This window comes from Homo sapiens, chromosome 22 (genome assembly GCF_000001405.40).
Source record: "Homo sapiens chromosome 22, GRCh38.p14 Primary Assembly".
Classification (NCBI taxonomy): domain Eukaryota; kingdom Metazoa; phylum Chordata; class Mammalia; order Primates; family Hominidae; genus Homo; species Homo sapiens.
The window spans coordinates 47,047,030-47,065,298 of record NC_000022.11 but is presented as its reverse complement, the minus strand read 5'-3'; the positions used below and the strand labels follow the sequence as shown (position 1 = coordinate 47,065,298).

The window sequence follows — 18,269 nt, the reverse complement described above, 5'->3', positions numbered from 1 at the left end:
CTTAGGCCGGGCATGGTGGCTCACGCTTGCATCCCAGCACTTTGGGAGGCCAACGTGGGCGGATCATGAGGTCAGAAGATTGAGACCATCCTGGCTAACACGGTGAAACCCTGTCTCTAATAAAAATACAAAAAAATTAGCCGGGCGTGTTGGCACGCACCTGTAATCCCAGCTACTTGGGAGGCTGAGAATCGCTCGGAAGGTTGAGAATCGCTTGAACCCGGGAGGCGGAGGTTACAGTGGGCCGAGATCGTGCCACTGCACTCCAGCCTGGGTGACAGAGTGAGACTCCGTCTCAAAAAATAAATAAATAAAATAAAATAAATAATAAACAAATTTTTAAAAACCTTGATACATCCCTTAGAAACTGCCTCTTTATAATGACAATGATTAAAGTGTACAATCCATTTCTCAAAAGGACTGTCAACTACAGAGAAGAAACTAAAGACACTTGGAGAGTTAACATTTATTCTTCGTGAAATTTAATTAAAAGCAGCACATTCCTGACACCGTAATGGGCCAGCGATCCTGAGTAAGATGGTAGACAGGAGACACTTAGAGGGACAATCTCAGCGTTTATGAATACCCAGATGCCCCTAGGATTCCTTCCAAATCATCTGGTCCTGCGTTACGGTGATGGCGACAGTCACCACAGAGCCCTGCCAGGCCCTGAGGAGGACGAGGGGGCAGTGCTGAGCACGGCTGGGCAGGGCCAGGCCCAGCTTGGCCTTAAAGCCACGTTTAATGACAGTGCATTCGCAGCAGTAAGAAAAGGAATAATGTTTTCTGAAAATGTACTACCACCTCTGTACTTAAAATAAAATACCATCAGGTAAATGGATCAGACTGAACCAGTTAATCCTCCCTGACATTAACCATACTGAGCTGAACAGCTCCATCTGCAGAGACGTGCAACAGGGATTCTGGTTTTCTAATTCTGTGTTTGCTGAACCACAAGTGGCCTCCTGTGGACAAACCTGCCTGGCTTAGAGCGGCATGACCGCCCGGCACCGCTGCCCGGGAACTGAGCAGCTTGCACTGGCCTGTTAAACTGCTGAGCGGGAGAGGAGGGCCAGTTCACCACAGAGAGAGCACGGGTGCCGGCAGCGGCTCCCCGGCAACGGCAACGCATCAGCCCTGCTCCACGAGGGCCTGTCCACAGCGAGTGGATCCGTGTCCCTCAAGCCCCGGTCCTGGTGGTTCCTGTGAACGTGGCCTCCCTGGAAAACGGCATCTGGAGATGCAGTTCAGAGGAGGCCACACTGGAGTAGGGGGGGCCCTGATCCAATGACGGGTGTCCTCACAGAAGAGGAAAACAGGGCACCTGAAGATGCAGTTCAGAGGAGGCCACACTGGAGTAGGGGGGCCCTGATCCAACGATGGGTGTCCTCACAGAAGAGGAAAACGTGGACACAGCCACACAATGGGAGAAGGCTACGTAGCGACAGAGGCAAAGACTGGAGTGAGGCTGCCATGAGTCAGGAATGCCGAGGATGACTGGTAACACATGGAGGCGGGAAGGGGAAGCATGGGGCAGATTCTCCCTCGAAGCTTCCAGAGCGAACCAGCCCTGCCCACACCCCAATTCCAGAACTCTCAGGCCTATAAGCCCTCAGTGTGTGACACATGGCAGCTCTAGGACATGGATACTCCACGCGAGTGACAGCCCAGTCCTGACATTCTTCACCTCCTCAGGTGTGACTGGAGGGGCACCCAGGCTCACCCTCAACACAGTGCTCCCCAAACATTCCCGGACCCCCAGCAGGCACGAGGCTGGTAGTACCCAGGCCTTGTACCACAATGGCCAGGCTCAGTATGCCCTGGTGCACACCCCCGCCGGTCTCTCTGCAGGCTGTCCTCTCCATCACCCAGACGAGGCCTCCCTTCCACCCACGGGGCTCCAGGACGAGGCCGGGCCTAACTTCCATCTCCCCAAATCCTAAGGGAACCTCTTCACCTACCCTCAGACCGCTCCTGCTGGGTGGCCCTTAGTGACAGCCACTAGCCCTGGCCCCAGAGTCACGCACAGCCTTGGCTGCGCATCAGAGCCATCCGGGGTGGTTTGACTACCAGTGTCCCATGAGATTGGGAACCCTGGAGGCGGGATCCGAGCATCTGTGGCTCCTGAGCCCCAGCGATTCTTCAGCCAGGGGTGAGGCCCTTGGCCTAGACTCCTCCTTCTGTCCATCCTCCACCGAGTCCTGCTGCTCCTGCACCCAGAACTGCCCATCCTGTTTCTCCACCGTGCCTGCCTTCAGATGGCCTCCTTCCTCTGGGGTCACCACAGTGGCACCTTCTCCCTGTTTCCATGTTCCTGCGCTCGCTGCTGTTTCTCACCTTCAGGCTTTTTCCCAGATGCAGTACCAACTAACTCGTTGCACATGGTGGCCTGGGGGGCTGTGGAGTGCGGTCCTATGAGCCAGTCTTCTTCCTCTGCTTGGAATGGCTGCTCTTTGCCACCACCCACCACTCATAGATAACCTGGGCAGCCTGCAGGTTCATCTGGATTAAACAAGTCACCCCAAACTTAATGACTTAAAATAACAATGGTTTGGCTCACAGATACGCAGTTTGTGCAGAGTTCTGTGGGCCCCCAGGCTTCTCCCCTCACCCACTTCCTAAGGTCGACCAGGGATTTGCCTCGTGTTCCTAGTCTTTTCCACACGAAGCTGCACCTATGGCTGCATTTTATGTCGTGACAGGAATAGAAGTCACTACGGCACTCACGCTAGAGGAAGCACCATGCACTGTAGAAATCACTACGGCACTCACGCTAGAGGAACCACCATGCACCGTATTCTGGAATAAAACAGAAAGGAACACACGGACATTGGTTCAGGACAAAGGAAGCAACACCAAAGGCTTTGTCCAGACAGCCACGTGCTGCTTCCGAGCTGACTGTAAAGCCAGCAGGCCCAGCCCTCATCCTCCCTCACCCCACAGAGAATGGACCTCAGACCTCAGACACAAGCAGGTGTCCAAATTCCCAGGAGCACACAGACTGCCGGGACACCCAGAGCTTCCGATTCAGGAGGCCTGGGTAGGGCCTGAGAATGTGCTTTTCTAGCAAGTTTCCAGGTGATGCTGAGGCTGCTGGTCCAGGGTCCACACTGCCGGAACCCTGGGAAAACAATCCGCGTTCTGACTGACAGCAACAAAGGGGGCGGAGGACTGACATTGTCACATTGTCTTTTTTTTTTTTTTTTTTTTTGAGATGGAGTCTTGCTCTGTCGCCCAGGCTGGAGTGCAGCAGAGCGATCTGGGCTCACTGCAACCTCTGCCTCCCAGGTTCAAGCAATCCTCCTGCCTCAGCCTCCGGAGTAGCTGGGATCACTGGCATGCACCACCACGCCTGGCTAACGTTTGTATTTTTAGTAGAAACGGGGTTTTGCCATGTTGGCCAGGCTGGTCTCGAACTCTGGACCTCAAGTGATCCGCTGGCCTCAGCCTCCCAAAGTGCCGGGATTACAGGCATGAGCCACCACACCCTTGTCACACTTTCTAACCTCAAGACTGGGAGGAAATAGATGAACACTTTTAAGGAAAGAATCCTTTACGATGACAAACCACTCCACTACACAAAGACACAAACCACCGACAATGCAAAATCCTGGCTAAATCTCTAGATGACTATGGAGAGTGGAAGGAGTCAGGTGAAAAGGGGCATATGCTGGAGCCCAGCTTGTCTAAGGCTACAGAAGAGACAAAACAAAACGCTGCAAATATGTTTAGGACTGTGTGGGGAAGCTGCGGTGAGGGATCGGAAGCCACCCTTGGATCTGCGCTCGAAGCTTCTGTGAGAGCTGCTCGTGTAGCAAGGGCTCTGCCAAGTGCTGGTGGCTGAGGACGAGCAGGAAAGGACATCCCCTCTCGAGGGACTACCAGAACCAGGGAACCAAGCAGGGACCACGACCAAGGCAGAGGAGAGAGTGAGGGGAGGAGGAAGAGGCCCTGCACACCTGGGCATCTCTGGGAGAGCAAGCCAGGCCCCGTATCTGCCCCAAGGAAAGCATCTGAGCACCTTTACAGAGAACGGTGGTGAGGGCACCGAGGAAGACAGCGTGGCTTAACGTTTCCAGGACCGTGGTGAGGGCACCGAGGAAGACAGCGTGGCTCAACCTTTCCAGGACCGTGGTGAGGGCACCGAGGAAGACAGCGTGGCTCAACCTTTCCAGGACGGTGGTGAGGGCACCGAGGAAGACAGCGTGGCTCAACCTTTCCAGGACCGTGGTGAGGGCACCGAGGAAGACAGCGTGGCTCAACCTTTCCAGGAGGTCGCATGCGAGCGGTTCCGGTGGTTACCTTGAATGATCCCAAGTGTCATTCCAGGGGCTGCAAATATATCTTCAGTAGGCAAAGACAAGGCCCCTGACAATAAAATATAAATGACCACCTGTCTTCTGCAACCGCCCCGATGATGGGAGTCGAGCGGCATGGCGCTAATGGAAGGGAAGCAACCTCAGACACATGGGACACCAGGGGAGCCTCCAAAGGCACCTGCTGCTGGACTGACTCCGCTAAATTGTGTGCCCTTTCTGGCAGCATTTTCCTCCTATGTAATTTGGCAATTATTTGTCTGCTGAACCATCACCAACTTCTCCCAAAAAGAAAGTCAGAGGCAGTCGGATCACCTGAGGTCAGGAGTTCAAGACCAGCCTGACCAACACAGCAAAACCCCGTCTCTATTAAAAACACAAAAAATTAGGTGGGCGTGGTGGCAGGCATCTGTAATCCCAGCTACTCGGGAGGCTGAGGTAGGAGAATCGTTTGAACCCGGGAAGCGGAGGTTGCAGTGAGCCGAGATTGTGCCACTGCACTCTAGCCTGGGCTACAGAGCGAGACTCCATCTCAGAAAAAACCAAAACAACAACAACAACAAAAAACAACGAATTAGCTGGGCATGGTGGTGGGCGCCTGTAATCCCAACTACTTGGGAGGCTGAGGCAGAAGAATCGCTTGAACCCAGGAGGCAGAGGTTGCAGTGAGCCGAGATCATGCCATTGCACTCCAGCCTGGGCAACAGAGCAAGACTCCATCTCAAAAAAAAAAAAAAAAAAAAAGTCAGAAACCCTTAGCAGGGGCCGCAGAGGCTGAAGGGAGGCCTGATCTGCCTGCTGGAAGTACGCAGAGCACTGGCTTCTGGCATCCTGGTTTTAATGATAAACGGAGCCAACACGTGCATAAAACATGCACCAACAATCAGGACATAAACTGCCACAGTCCTGTCCAAATGAGGCCTTTTCTCCAGGATCTCGAGCCCCCAGAGTCCTCTTCTGACAGGAGGACGGCCATGTCATGGGCAGTTCCCTGCAGATCGGGCGGCTGTGCGACGCTCCTGCAGCCTCCTGTACCCTGGAACAGAGAAGCTTGGCCTGGAGCTCATCTTCTGTGAAACACACAAACACCACAGCACTCGTTTGCATAACTGAAACTGTGCACTTTTATAGTCACAGATGGTCCTCTTCCAAAACCATCTTTAGTAATAATCATAAGATCCCTGCTGTTACCGTAAAGTCTAAATGCCAGAAACATGTGCTGGCTCAGACCTGAAAGCGCAGGGATGCTGCTGGAGCTCAGGCAGAAACGGCACCTGCATTTCATTCCAATTAGCTCATGACAGAGAGAGGGACCTTTGAGGCTTACACACTTGGAGGTGGGAGCTTAAAAAACTGCCTTTCAGGAGATCGGTAATTCTTCATTCCTTAAAATAATTTAAGGAATCCTTCAATTAAACAAGTATCTTTGGGTGACAGACACAGACTTGCTCACATTGGGGGTGGAAACACACATACACGCTCCCAATTTAGTGCTCAGGAGAAAACTTTAAAACTTTTACATGCAGCTCAAATGACTCCCGTGGAAAGAAGGCGCAAAGCTATGGCTTCTGAAAAGTGAAGTGAGAGTGGGCGCTGGTGTGAGAGGCCGGGGGGACGCTGCCAGTGCAACGCCCTCCTGTCTGCACCTTCTAGTTCTCACTGCTCTCTTACAGCGTCAAGAAAGGGCTCCCACACCAGACGCGTGCGCACCCACACCAGTGTGTTCAAGATGCCCAGTAGGACCCTGGCAGAAAATCCAGGTGCCAGACAGTGGAGGCGCCCACACGGCATGGCCTGTCCCCCAGCGCTTTGCTACTTACCAGCTGGATGGCTTTGGACAAGAGCACCTACCCTGGCCGAGCCTTGATGTTCTCATCTGTAAGGTGGCCATCACAACGCTTACTGAACGCAGCAGCTCTCAGGATGACAGGGGTGTGTGGAGTGCCCAGGATGACAGGGGACGTGTAGAGTGTCCAGCGCAGGACCTGGACACTCCGCAGTTCTTGTGTGATGATGACTGGTCCTTCTTCACCCTCAACTGAGGGAGGGGTATGGGGAGAGGTTCCCCAGGGCCCCACCACTGCTCAAGATCTGTCTCCTTCACCTGGGTCCAGCGGGCCCCATTCATGCTCCTTAGTCATTCCATTTCACTTATGCCACCTTATTCAACCAACAGTCACAGAGCAACACGGCTGGGTCAGAAGCTGTTCTGAGCGCTGGGACCTACGGACCAACCCCACCAAGGCCTGGGCCTCAGCGAGCCTGGTGGGGCAGAGCCACTGTGGCTCTCCAGGGACCCAGCCTGTCCACCTGGACATCTCTCTGAGCCCTGCCTCCTTGCTAACAGGGAATCACAGGTACATGATAATGTGTAACTCGGAACCAGGGGACAGTGGCCTGGAGCAAGCAGAAGAGAGGGCAGAGGGATCAGAGAAGAGTAGACAAGGGAGGGGAGGCAAGAGCTAAGGTGAGGGGAAGGAGGGCTCTAATGCTGGACTAGACTGGGTGGTCATAACCACCACAAGGAGCCGGGAAGAGGAAGGACGGTGGGGCTGAGGGCTGAACTCGTTCTCGCAGGGCTGGCCTGGCTGCAGAGCACTGGCCCTGTGATGGCTTCTGTCGGGCGGGTGGAATCATAAGCTGGGGGGCAGGGAGAGGGACAGGATCATAGGAGTCCGAGAAGAAAGTCAAGTCAGTAACAAGCAGCTCCAGGCCTGCACGGCATGGGGAGGAGGCCAGCCCCTCAGAGCCACCTTTGAGACACAAAGACCCACTAAGGGCAGGGAGCTCCAGCTGTCTGGGCCAGACACAGGAGTCCGCACGCAGGGTGTGGCGTGAAGCTAGCCTGTTGCTTGCTGAGACAACAGTGGCCACCGGAGCTCAGATCTGCTGGGCAGTCCTTGCTGTGCCAGTCCCTTGGCCTGCAATCCTTGCTGCACCTAGGGCAGCCCAAGGGGGGTCGAGGCCCTGCGCTGGTGCCACACAGTAGCAATGACGCAGCTGAGATCCTCGTGGGGCCTGCCTGACCACAAGCCCAGGATCTTCACCCATCAACTGCCCAGCAGGTCCCTTTACAAGTGTAGTTGCATTTCACCTTATAAACCCCCATGGGGCAGGGGTAACCATTTTGATGTGGTCTGACTGTGTCCCAACCCAAATTTCATCTTGAATTGTAGCTCCCATAATCCCCACGTGTTATGGGAGGGACCCAGTGGGAGGTCACTGAATCACGGGAATGGTTTTCCTGTGCTATTCTCGCGATAGTGAGTAAGTCTCATGAGATCTGACGGTTTTATAAAGGGCGGCTCCCTGCACACGCCCTCTTGCCTGCCGCTATGTAAGACGCGCTTTTGCTCCTCCTTCGTCTTCCATGATGATTGTGAGGCCTCCCCAGCCATGTGGAACTGTGACTTCATTAAACCTCTTTTTCTGTATCAATTACCCAGTCTCAGGTATGTCTTTATTAGCAGTGTCAGAACAAACTAATACACATTTCCACTTGGCTTAGTGAAGTGAGGGATGTGCCCACGGCTCCCGGAAAGAAAGTGTAGCACTGTCCATCTGGGTTCGAGCCACCCTGGTTCCCTGCACCTGGAAGGAAACTTGTAAAATCCTGCTGCAAAGTGCAGGGGAAGGCGGGACGGTGGCCTAAGGGACCATGGGGTGGGAGGCAAGAACTTCTGCTCCCGTGGAAGGAGGAGCTTGGGACTGACTGGGAGGGGAACAAGGAGAGAACCCCAGCCAGCTGCCCAGCGCTCATTTGCGGCAGCCTCAACCTGACTGAGGAAGGGGCGATTCTGGCTGAAACCCACCTACCGACTTCCTAAAATGACCAAACTTGACATCAAAACAGCCTCGGAATCCAACAACACTGCATTCAGCCTGACTCCCAGGCCAGAATGCCACAGACCCGGGGCTAAGGCAGGGTCAGGCACCTGCCAGGTGGGCTGACCTCACGGGTTCTCTCCTGAGTGGCTGGGCCTAGGCAGCAAGGCAGGGAAAGGCAGTGTAGGAGGCGGCTGCTGGACCCCTCCCTGTGACTGCAGCCCGCCAGCACCTCCCATGTCAGACACCCCTGCATCTCCTCTGCTCCAGGCCCCTTCCATTCTGTGTCTGTCCCTGCAGCTTCCCCGGGTAAAATGCCGTGACCCCACTCTGAAGACCACCACCCTAGGAAACCTGAGGTGGAGCGAGCTGTATCCACCCCAGATGCTGCTCAGACAGTTCCTGCTGGTCTGCTAAGGTCCCCTGTCATAGGACCATGTTCTAGGACAGAAGGCCTGGGTCCTCTGAATCCCTGGGGTTGACATGAGTGTGGCCACATCTGTGTCCTTAAGACCCAGCCAGCTGCACGGCTCAGGCAGCGGTGAGAAGACCAACAAGGAGACAGGATGGTGGCTGTGCACAGACGGGGTGGAGAGGGATCTGAGACAGAGATCTGAGGGAGGAGTTGGTGACGGATGGCACGGGGCACAAGACAAACGGCAGCTTCTCTCTGGCTTCTGCATCAGGAAGGGGGGTGGCCTCATCTGCTGAAAATGCGCAGGCTCATTCTGAAGGATATCGCTCAGGGCTCCATGGTGAAGTCAAATCAACCGTCAGCTCACAGGCAGCCCTGTGCCTTCAAAACCAACTCAAACTCAAACGCTGTCAATCACTAACAAGCACCCGGCCGGAGGAGATTCCTTTAAACAGCAAGCAGAACTTTACATACAGAGCCCCAAGGGCACCCAGGTCATGCGGAGGAAGGCGAGCAGTCTACACCACGGCTGGGGAGCAGCAGTGTGGAGCGTTACCCAGCCCGGCCCGGCCCACCACCCACACACACTCTTCCTGAGAGACTTTTTTGGGCCACCGTTACCCGACCCAGACTGCTCAAACAGACCCAAGACAAGGGCAGTCGCTGATGTGTGCACGGGACACCTAACTCAAGCAAGTAATGAAGCCTGATGACGGGAGCCCTGCTCAGTCCAACAGTCCCAATGATGGGGAGTCCTGCTCCCTGGACGGCACCTTCCTTCCCATGGAGCCAAATGGCAAGGACCCTCAATGGCGTATCTCACCAACCCTCAGTGGCGTATCTCACCGACCCTCAGTGGCGTATCTCATCAACCCTCCGTGGCGTATCTCACTGCCCAGGAACTCAGACCCAATTATGGCTGAATGTAGGCAGGGATCACATCTATGCCCTACTCATCCCAGCTCCCAGCAGCAGACAGAGGCTTTTAAATGGCCTTTTCCTCCTGGCCCCAAGGGGCCAGAACAGCTCCTCCCCAGCCTCCTAGGTGCGCCTGCCCACTCCCTCCCTCTCCATGCTGGCTGCTCTGCCTGGCTGCACCTCTCTGCCTCCCCACACCTACCTAGTGCTGAGATTCCCTGAGGGCAGGGGCTGCACCTTACCCCTCCATGACCCCAGCTAACAGCATAGGGTCGGGCTCCAAATTCTTGCCTTATCGATCTTTGCTGTATATCACAAATGTACATACCCCTAATCAAAATTCTCAATATGATCTCTGATTTGGGTGTGTATTAACACAGTAAACTACTGGGGCTAGTTTTCTTCCAGCCATCCACCCATCCATCCATCTCTTCCCCTGTCCAGCTGACCACTCCGGCATCAGTTTGCCAGAGACGCGCTGGTGCAATTAACCACCCACCTGCTCCAACCCGAGCATCAGCTCTGGGCTTGGCAGCAAAACACTCACCTGACTCCATCGTTCTCCTATATCTCACACAGGGATAAAGAGAATGGCAACAAAAGAGAAAGACTTGTGGGAGCAGTAGGGGCAGAGCCCCAAGCAGGGCACAAGGGCCAGCCTGGCAGGTGTGGGCTTTGGGGTAGACCCCAACATCCCAGGAGGGAGCAAGTACCCATGCAGTGTCACAACCTGCTCCTGCCAGTGCCCTCGAGACCCCCTCACCTCCTCCACCTCGGAGGCAAGAAAGAAGCGGCTAAGAGGCCAGGTCCCCGCCCACTGCCACCCAGCTGCGCAGGGGTGGTCAGGACTCTGACCCAGGGCCATGCTGGACCTGGGCTGTGAGTCCCAGCCCGTGCTTTAAGGGTGAGAGTGCCAACTGCACCCACACCCCACGGTCTGTGCCCTACACACCACGACATTTCTGCTGTTTACAAGTTAACAACGGGAAGTAGGGAGACTTGAGGGAACTGGATGAGCCCCTCGCCCTTGCCCCACAACTTCTACGTGTACACAATCATCAGCCCGACCTGCCCAGGAACAGCCCTCACTGGCCACCTCCCAGGCGCCCACCACCGGCCCTGCTACTTGACTTCAATCAGCAGCAAAGCATCTTTCTTCTCTTAATGCATCAGCAAGGGGGAAATGAGTGCCCAGGATTCGAAGGGCCTGAGAAGGAAGAGGAGCCGCGTGGCTGGAATAGCAATGAGCTGCCGCTGGGAAGGCTCTTGGCCGCACCAGCAGATGGACATGGCGAGGCCACAGAAAGGCGCCCAAGCAGATGCTGGAGCCAGCTCTGTGGAGAGTAAGTCATGCAGGCAGGAAGCAGGGCAGAGTGGGAAGTGGGCCGGGAGTGGACACAGACGATGGGGAGGAACGGCCAGGCAAAACCAGGACCCCTCACCTCGAGTGGTGCCTCGAGGCAGAAGAAAATGAAGCCCAAGGATGGCTGCTCATCGTCTCCACCAGCTCTTCCAACACAAGCAGTGGCAAGTCCACTCGTTTCTAACTTGGCCAAGAGAGACTTCAGGATCCACCACGTGCTCTCACCAACATCTTGCTTTTTTCCTGAAACAGCATCCCTCTTTCACTGCATTGTGGGTCCCTGCACGTCCTTCCTCCTCTCCTAGCAGCCATGGGTGCTGGGGGGCTCTTGAGTCAGGGATGCATGCCCAGAGCTCGGGCACTGGCTGCTACCCAGAGACTCTGAGCAGCGCTGGCCATTGCTCAGGGAGGGAACTGCAGCTCTCACACTGAGTCTGTCCCTTCGAAGCCGGATGACTGATGAGTCAGGGCCTCTCTCAGCCTGTTTCCTCCTCTGTACAACAGAGAAGTGATAGCCCCACAGTAACAGCTACCACTTCTGGAGCATTCCCGTGTCCTTGGTTCAACTCCATTTCTTAACGATGGCTTGGGGTGAGGCTCACAGAACCTCCTCTTGTTGTTCCTGGAAGATTAAATGCGCTGGTATATGTCTGAGTCCACAAGGCAGCACGCGGGAATCCAAACCAGCGCCTGGAGCGCAGAAGGGCTCAGCCAACGCCAGTGAATGTGATGTTGTCAGCTGACTCAGCAAAATTACTAATGATGTTTCTCAGCCAAAGATGAGCCCGACAATATGTCACAAGTTTACCTCAAACCAACCTCTCAACCTCCTGCTGTGCACAGAGGCCTCCCTCCTCGCTGGCGTCTCTGAGGGCTTGGCCTTTCTGCTCTCCTGATCCTCACAGGCCTGGCAAACTGCTGCCCCGACTGGGAGAGAAGCGCCCTCCATCTCCTTCAAGGGCACTGGGGAGCAGCACTCCTGAGGCCTCTGAGTGCGCCTGACGAGGCGGCCCTGGGACAGGCCACCCTGCTTGCTGGTCCTGCAGGTAACTGTGGCCTCCAGAGGAGGGGGTGCCCTACCAAGGGGGACTGGGATAGCAAAGCCCCCAGGCTCTGCCTCTCAGGAGGGGCCCTGGCAACCCCTCACCTTCTCCACTGCGGACGTGAGAAACAAAGACACGTCCACCCCACCTGCAGGCAGGCAAGGAAGAGAGCAGAACAGGAGGAGGCAGAAAGTGGCAGAGGAGCCCTCCAGGCCGGAGGGGACACGCAGGAAGCAGTGAGGCCCTGGGCTGGTGGTGGGCAGGAAGCAGTGAGGCCCTGGGCTGGTGGTGGGCAGGAAGCAGTGAGGCCCTGGGCTGGTGGTGGGCACGATGCTTGGGGCAGCACTCACACACAGTGAAGGTGCCCAAGTCAAATGACAGAGACATGACAATGACCACACAGGTAAAGAAGAGGGAGGCCAGTGTGCAGGTGTGAGGAGGCCCAGCCAGCAGCCCAGCATGTCACAGCTGCGTGGCATCCAGGTTTACACCAAGACCCCAAGACCATCAACACGGGGATACCGGGTACCACAGAGGGCCAGCCATGTGGCAGTGATGTGCCAACACAGACGGGCACCACCGTGTGGTGGGCTTGGTGTCACTGATTGGGGAGCAGTGGCCTGGAAGGACAGGAAGATGCCCGGGGGTACTGTGGGAGGCCGTCCTCCTGCTATCCTGGCTGCCCCAGCAGAGCCTGAGCAGTGCTGTGTGTGGCCGACAGGAGTCCTGCTCAGGACAGGCAGAGCCTCCAGCCGCTGCCCCTCAGAGCAGGAGGGCTGTGATGTGGCTGCCGCAAGCACAGGGCCATCCCCGGAGAAGCTTGGTGCAACACTGGCAGGCAATGGCCTGGGCACACCGTGCTGTGTGACCTCAGGCGAGTCCCCTCCCCACTGTGGGAGGGTCTCAGGGTCCTCTCTCTGTACACAATGCTCCCCAGGGGGCCCATCCATCAGGCTGTCTCCTTCTAAATGGATCAAGCCCATCTTTCTTCCCAGCCTCCCACCTCCTCACCTTGAGGGTCCCTCCCAGGCATCCCCAGGCTCGCCCGCTGTGCCTGCCCCTCCCAGGGGCCTCCCTGGCTGGTACCAGGAGGCCACACAGGCCGCATGGCCGATGGGCACCCTCATCAGGAGGGCGCTGGCCCGGCCTCTGGACTATGGAATGATTCAATATTTCCTGATGGACTCAAGTATTCAAAATGAAAGCAAATTGCTCTAAATACGTGTTCAGAAAAACATCCCACTCTAACTCCAGAACTGGCTTCCCTGTGCTGTCTGCTGCTCTCCAAATGAACCCATGTTCAGAGTGACAGAGGACCTGCGGACACCTTGCTGGGGGCAGGAGGCCCAGTGAGAGCCTGCCCCACCCTGCCTTACCGCTGAAGAGGAGGCATCCCGCCCGCTCTGTGCTTTCTGTCCACACTCACAGATTCCCCAGAGGCCGAGAAAGCAAACACTGTGAGATGTGCTAGTGGCAATGCACTCTGCTTCTGTTCACCTCCGCACAGTGACCGCCTTTCAGGGTAAGATTCTGGAACAGCAGGTGGCCAGGAGAGCACCGCTGAAACAAACTGAATCCCTGAATACAAAGCAGAGAAGGAGTCTTCTCCACTCATGACAGAACACAGCGGGAGCAGAGGAGCGCGAGAGGAAGGAAAGGAGGAGGGAGGGGAGCTGGAGAGGAGCAGTCCTGGGGCTGCAGGGAGGTGCCGGCTGCCCCCACCCCAGGCAAGCGGCCAGGGCTCACTGCTCCTGCCACAGAGGGTCTCCTCCAACAGAGCTCCACAGCCTGGCAGGGGCCCGGCCCCTTGAGGGGACCTGAAAAGCATGGCTGGCCCAGCCCTCCAGGAGAATCACCAGGGCCTCCACCGGAAGGGCGTTTTGAGATCAAAGAATGTTCTAGCTCCCGGCTCCCGAAGCCACCCCTGCCGCACCCAGGGTCCGCATTGAAGCAAGTCCAGGAGGATCCAGAGAGCACGGCTGAGGACCGTAATTCCGGAACTAGACTGTTCTTTAAGGACGGAAAGACAGTATTTTCCAAATGTGTGCATTTGAGAGTATAAAAAAATCTTACAAATATTTAAAATTTAAATTGTAGTTAATTATCTATAACCAGGTACCTTCTCTGATAAATACAATTCTAGGGAAATTTGCTCTATGTCTGGAACCTGGAGGGTTTACGTATTTAGAGACAACAACATTACTGGAATGTTCTGCTGAAGCTGAGGTGGGAACTCCTCCCTGCTCCCACTCCCTCAGCTCCTTTGCTACAATCTACAGCCCCGAGGGAGGAGAGGTCCCCCTGCAATGACCCAGCCTCCCACATGACCTGCCAGGCCACAGGGCAGAACCCACGGAAGCCCCCTGGGGAAGCCCCAGAGCCGCCGCCCAGACAGGGTCTCCTTAGCAAAGGGAGCGCTGCTATTCCCAGGCGGCTGCAAAGGTCCCCGCGACTGCCCCCGCCACCCCCTGCTCCCTCCACCGCATTGGTGTGGCCGCCCTCCTCATCCAGAGACACTGTGAGCAGAAGCTGCCACCCAGGGTCAGAGGGGAACCCAGTCCACCTGTCCAGGGCATGGCAGACAGACCACAGGCTCCTCCCAGGCTGTCCTCACCATCCCCCCACCTCCACCGATGCGCACTTCACCCTCATCCCACCCACCCCAAGGTTCTGCCCTCACAAGACCCTTCCCGAGCCCCCGCCATGGCCTGCAATCTGACTCCGGGCCCCACCCATCCCTGGCTGCTCTTAGTAGCTGTCTCCTGTGGCCACCCTGTACTTTGTGCAGAAGGCAAGCTCCTAGAGTCAGGGCCCAAGCGGCGCCTGGAGAGGCCTCACACGCGGTCCCAAGCAAATGCTGGCTGCAGTGAACACTCTGAACGGATGCTCTCAAGCTTAAAATGTCCCAGAAAGACACCATGGGTGAACTAAAAGGTTACCTAAAAAACAGAGCACAGCCAGCTGCTAAAAACACGGGAAACTTTTGGAATTAAATAGCAGCCATGGAAATAAAAATAGAATCAGGGTGTTTCTGTCTACTGCTTAACCAGATGAGGAAGAACGAGGTTAATGAAAATGCCCAGTGATGGTGACGGTAAAGAAATGCCCCCTCTCGGCCAGGCGCGGTGGCTCATGTCTGTAATCCCAGCACCCTGGGGGGCCGAGGCGGGCGGATCACTTGAGGTCAGGAGTTTGAGACCAGCCTGGCCAACAGGGTGAAACCCCGTCTCTACTAAAAAATACAAAAATTAGCCAGGCGTGGTGGCAGGCGCCTTAATCCTAGCTACTTGGGAGGCAGAGGCAGGAGAATCGTTTGAACCCAGGAGGCAGAGGTTGCAGTGGGCTGAGATCGAGCCACTGCACTCAAGCCTGGGGGACAAGGGCGAGACTTCTCTGAAAAAAGGAAATGCCCCCTCTCACAAAACTGCTGGCTGCAGGGCAAACCAACTCAGTGGGCCCCAGGGTCACTTGGCTGTGGCCACCAAGTTCCCCAAACACAGGGGGACCCGTTCACCCTGCAGCCCCTTTCCTGAACACCTCTTTTACGGGACTATTTCTAAATACAGAAAAAGCTTTAAGCACAAATATATCATCTCTCAGTCACAAATACACTGAAAAATCACGCACCACATTTAAGTAGACTATGATCTATCCACAGGCCAGAATATTAAGCAAACATTAGCTACAAAAACTCCAAACTAACACAGAAAGCATTATGACTGGGCAGTGTGACAGAGCCAAAGAGAAATTTATGTACTATTTGATTTGTGTTATGTTTTACAAAAAAACTCGTAGAAAAGGATGGAAAAGAGACACTAACACCTGCTCCACTGGGGGCCATTTATGTTGGGTTGGATATATTCAAAGGGGAGGTTTTCCTTCTTTCATCTCTGTAAAGTTTCAGCAATATGCATGTACTCTCATGATGAAACTTTAAAAATTAACACTTTAGAAAACAGGAAGTGAAGGAGGCCCGCTGAGAAGTGCATTCACCTGCAGGTTTACTCAGAGCAGCGCCATCTGTGCAAAGGTCCCGCTGCCCAGGGGGACCCTGATGTGGACGTGAACCCAGCGCCCATGCCCGCTTCTTCTTTCCCACACTTCCGCATGCTCAACCATTAAGTACCAAGAGGTTCGCCCAGGAGCTGGGAGGTTAATATCGGAAAATGTCAATACTGGAACAGTGGCGCAAAGCCGAAGGTTGGCCCAGGAAACCGTCTGAATATCACAAGCCTGGTCATGTAGGGCCTGGAAAGGAAGAGCACAACGTGTACCCGGCAGAGCTGTGAGTGCCACACTGGGGACCCAGGTGGAGCGCCGGCCTCCTCTTCCCGGCCATTAACGAAAGGTCACAGAAAATTGGACTGGAAACCTGGAGAATACTCTCCATGCTGGGGACACAGGAGGCCAAGCTCCTGAAAGCAATTCTCAGGTTAACGTTTCCTTTTTGGATTTCTTCCAGAACACATAAAAATGAAGGTCATTACCACGCTACACCAGACCTTAAAAGAGGAACCTATAAATCCAGGGTGCATGCGGGCAGTCAGGTGTGCCCCAGCATGGGGGCTGCGATGTCCAAAGGGTCCCGTGCAGGGCCCCTCACCCCTACATTGCTCCTGATTACGGTGCGGCAGGTGCCCCACCTCCCCCCAGAGCTGGGCAACAGTAAGTCAGCCTGTCCCCATCCCACCCTGCACAGGAACACAGCAAGCTCCGTTCACTAGGAGAAGCAATGCAGGAGGGGCCTGCACAGGGGACGGCAGAGGAAAGGAGAGAGGGACAGGAGCTGGCGGGAGAGGCCTGGCCTCAGGGAACTGTAAGTGCTTCCCATGGCTCTGTCTGCCCCATGCTCCTCTGGCCCAGTGGCAGCCACTGTGAACATCTGGAAGGCAAGGCTGCTGTGCCCTTCACCCTTTACTCCTTGTCCTCTGCCTGCCAAGGAGGCCTCTGTAACCAGGAACTCTGACCAGAGACTCCTGAGCACCGTCTCGGCAAGTGACGTAGTAACTGGATGTGCTGGGGCCTGACCACCCTGTCCTGGAAGGTGACGCGTCCTCCACCTCCCGACCTCAGGCTGGATGCCACCCTTTCCCTACCTGACAGCAACCATGGGTGACCCTGGGCTTGGGCTGACCCGGTAAGTGCTAAGGGGGTGCTCTGAGGGGAGCCTTACCGCACTGTGAAACCCCAAAACCACACCTCACACATAAGACGGGTCCACACACACCTCTCAGCAGCAGGGCCCAGCCTGGGGCTCCTCTCTCAACTACACCCAGAGAGCTGAGTCCCAGGAACCGCAAATGCAGCAACAGCAGTGGAGCTGGGGCAGCCCGGGGCAGACTGGAAGGCACCTCAGCCTCCATTGGGACCCTGTTCTGGCTTTTTTCTTGTTCCTTTCATTTAAGGAACACCAACTTGCAAAGATGACATCCAGCCACATGGTCTGGGGAAAGACTGAGGGGCTGCCCTTGGCTTCCGGGCTGTCAACTCTAAACTTTGGAGAAGTCCTGTGGGCAGCTCCACAAAGAGATGGGAGCAGAGTCTGCAGCAGAAAACAGGGCACAGCTCGAGCAAAGGCAAGGAGTAGAGGCAGACGGCAGGAGCCTGGAGAATGCACAGCCTCGAGGCCTTGCCAGGGCACCCGACAGGCTCTGAAAGACCCCAGCTCTGAACCCTCCACACAGGATGGGGCAAGCTTCTTCCACCATCAAGGATGAGGTCAACTGAGTGTTCATTCTCAAAGTCCCATCAAACTGCAGGCCTGACCTCTTGGTCACCATCACTGGTGGGGCCAACCTGGGGCAGTAGGCCTCAGCCACTTGCCCAGGGTTGGGGCAGCCGGTGCTTCCCGACAGCCCCAGGACTACTCCTCTCTGGGTCCTCTCCTTTGCTGCTCCGCTCGGGGCTGTCTCCATCTATTTCCAGCAACCAGCTGTGCTGAAGGTTTGGTGCCTTGAAGGCAAGAACTTCTCCTCTGTGCCCCTCTCCTTCAGCGCCCAGCACGCTGCCCTGCACAGGTGATCTACTCAACTCTTTAGGACTATGATTTCAATCACCGGCCACAAAGATACAATTCAATAATTTTCCTAAAAATGTATGATTCGTATTTAATATGCAGCCTTCATTAATAGGCTATGTGTATTCCTTTCTTTCTAATCTTGTCAGAAATCTTCCCAGGCCATGCATTTCTAGCAAGAGGGTAGGGCTGGCCTTGGTATATCACAGAATTGCTACATGCAAGCAGGGAAGGTCCCCGAGCCCTCCTCCGCCACACCCTCGCACTAAGAACAAGCTAAGATCAGGAGAAACACAAATCCTCACAGCAAACGAAACCAAGCCCTCCTCTGGGGCTTCGTCCCACAACAGGCCTAAAGCAGTTAGACAAGTTG

General features: G+C 55.5%; 1 protein-coding gene and 1 long non-coding RNA gene across 13 annotated transcripts in view, besides 4 other annotated features; both read right to left on the bottom strand.

Moving 5' to 3' along the window:
• TBC1D22A (TBC1 domain family member 22A) overlaps window positions 1-18,269 on the bottom strand; it is a 413,050-nt gene that overhangs the window by 110,401 nt on the left and 284,380 nt on the right.
• On the bottom strand, window positions 452-4,675 carry LOC124905141 (uncharacterized). The gene is made up of 2 exons (XR_007068142.1): window positions 4,022-4,675; window positions 452-2,799 (listed from the first exon to the last, which is right to left on the bottom strand). It is a non-coding gene; the product is annotated as an uncharacterized LOC124905141 (long non-coding RNA).
• Window positions 5,262-5,321: an enhancer, noted in NCBI's record as "active region_19268". NCBI's record gives its function as "activates an Ori minimal core promoter by ATAC-STARR-seq in GM12878 lymphoblastoid cells {active_cell/tissue: GM12878}" and the evidence as "EXISTENCE:reporter gene assay evidence [ECO:0000049][PMID:35858748]".
• Window positions 8,970-9,512: an enhancer, noted in NCBI's record as "H3K4me1 hESC enhancer chr22:47451683-47452225 (GRCh37/hg19 assembly coordinates)". NCBI's record gives its function as "activates a minimal SCP1, AML or CMV promoter by ChIP-STARR-seq in primed H9 embryonic stem cells {active_cell/tissue: H9 hESC(primed)}" and the evidence as "EXISTENCE:reporter gene assay evidence [ECO:0000049][PMID:30033119]".
• Window positions 11,427-12,410: an enhancer, noted in NCBI's record as "H3K27ac-H3K4me1 hESC enhancer chr22:47448785-47449768 (GRCh37/hg19 assembly coordinates)". NCBI's record gives its function as "activates a minimal SCP1, AML or CMV promoter by ChIP-STARR-seq in naive H9 embryonic stem cells {active_cell/tissue: H9 hESC(naive)}" and the evidence as "EXISTENCE:reporter gene assay evidence [ECO:0000049][PMID:30033119]".
• Window positions 12,411-13,396: an enhancer, noted in NCBI's record as "H3K27ac-H3K4me1 hESC enhancer chr22:47447799-47448784 (GRCh37/hg19 assembly coordinates)". NCBI's record gives its function as "activates a minimal SCP1, AML or CMV promoter by ChIP-STARR-seq in primed H9 embryonic stem cells {active_cell/tissue: H9 hESC(primed)}" and the evidence as "EXISTENCE:reporter gene assay evidence [ECO:0000049][PMID:30033119]".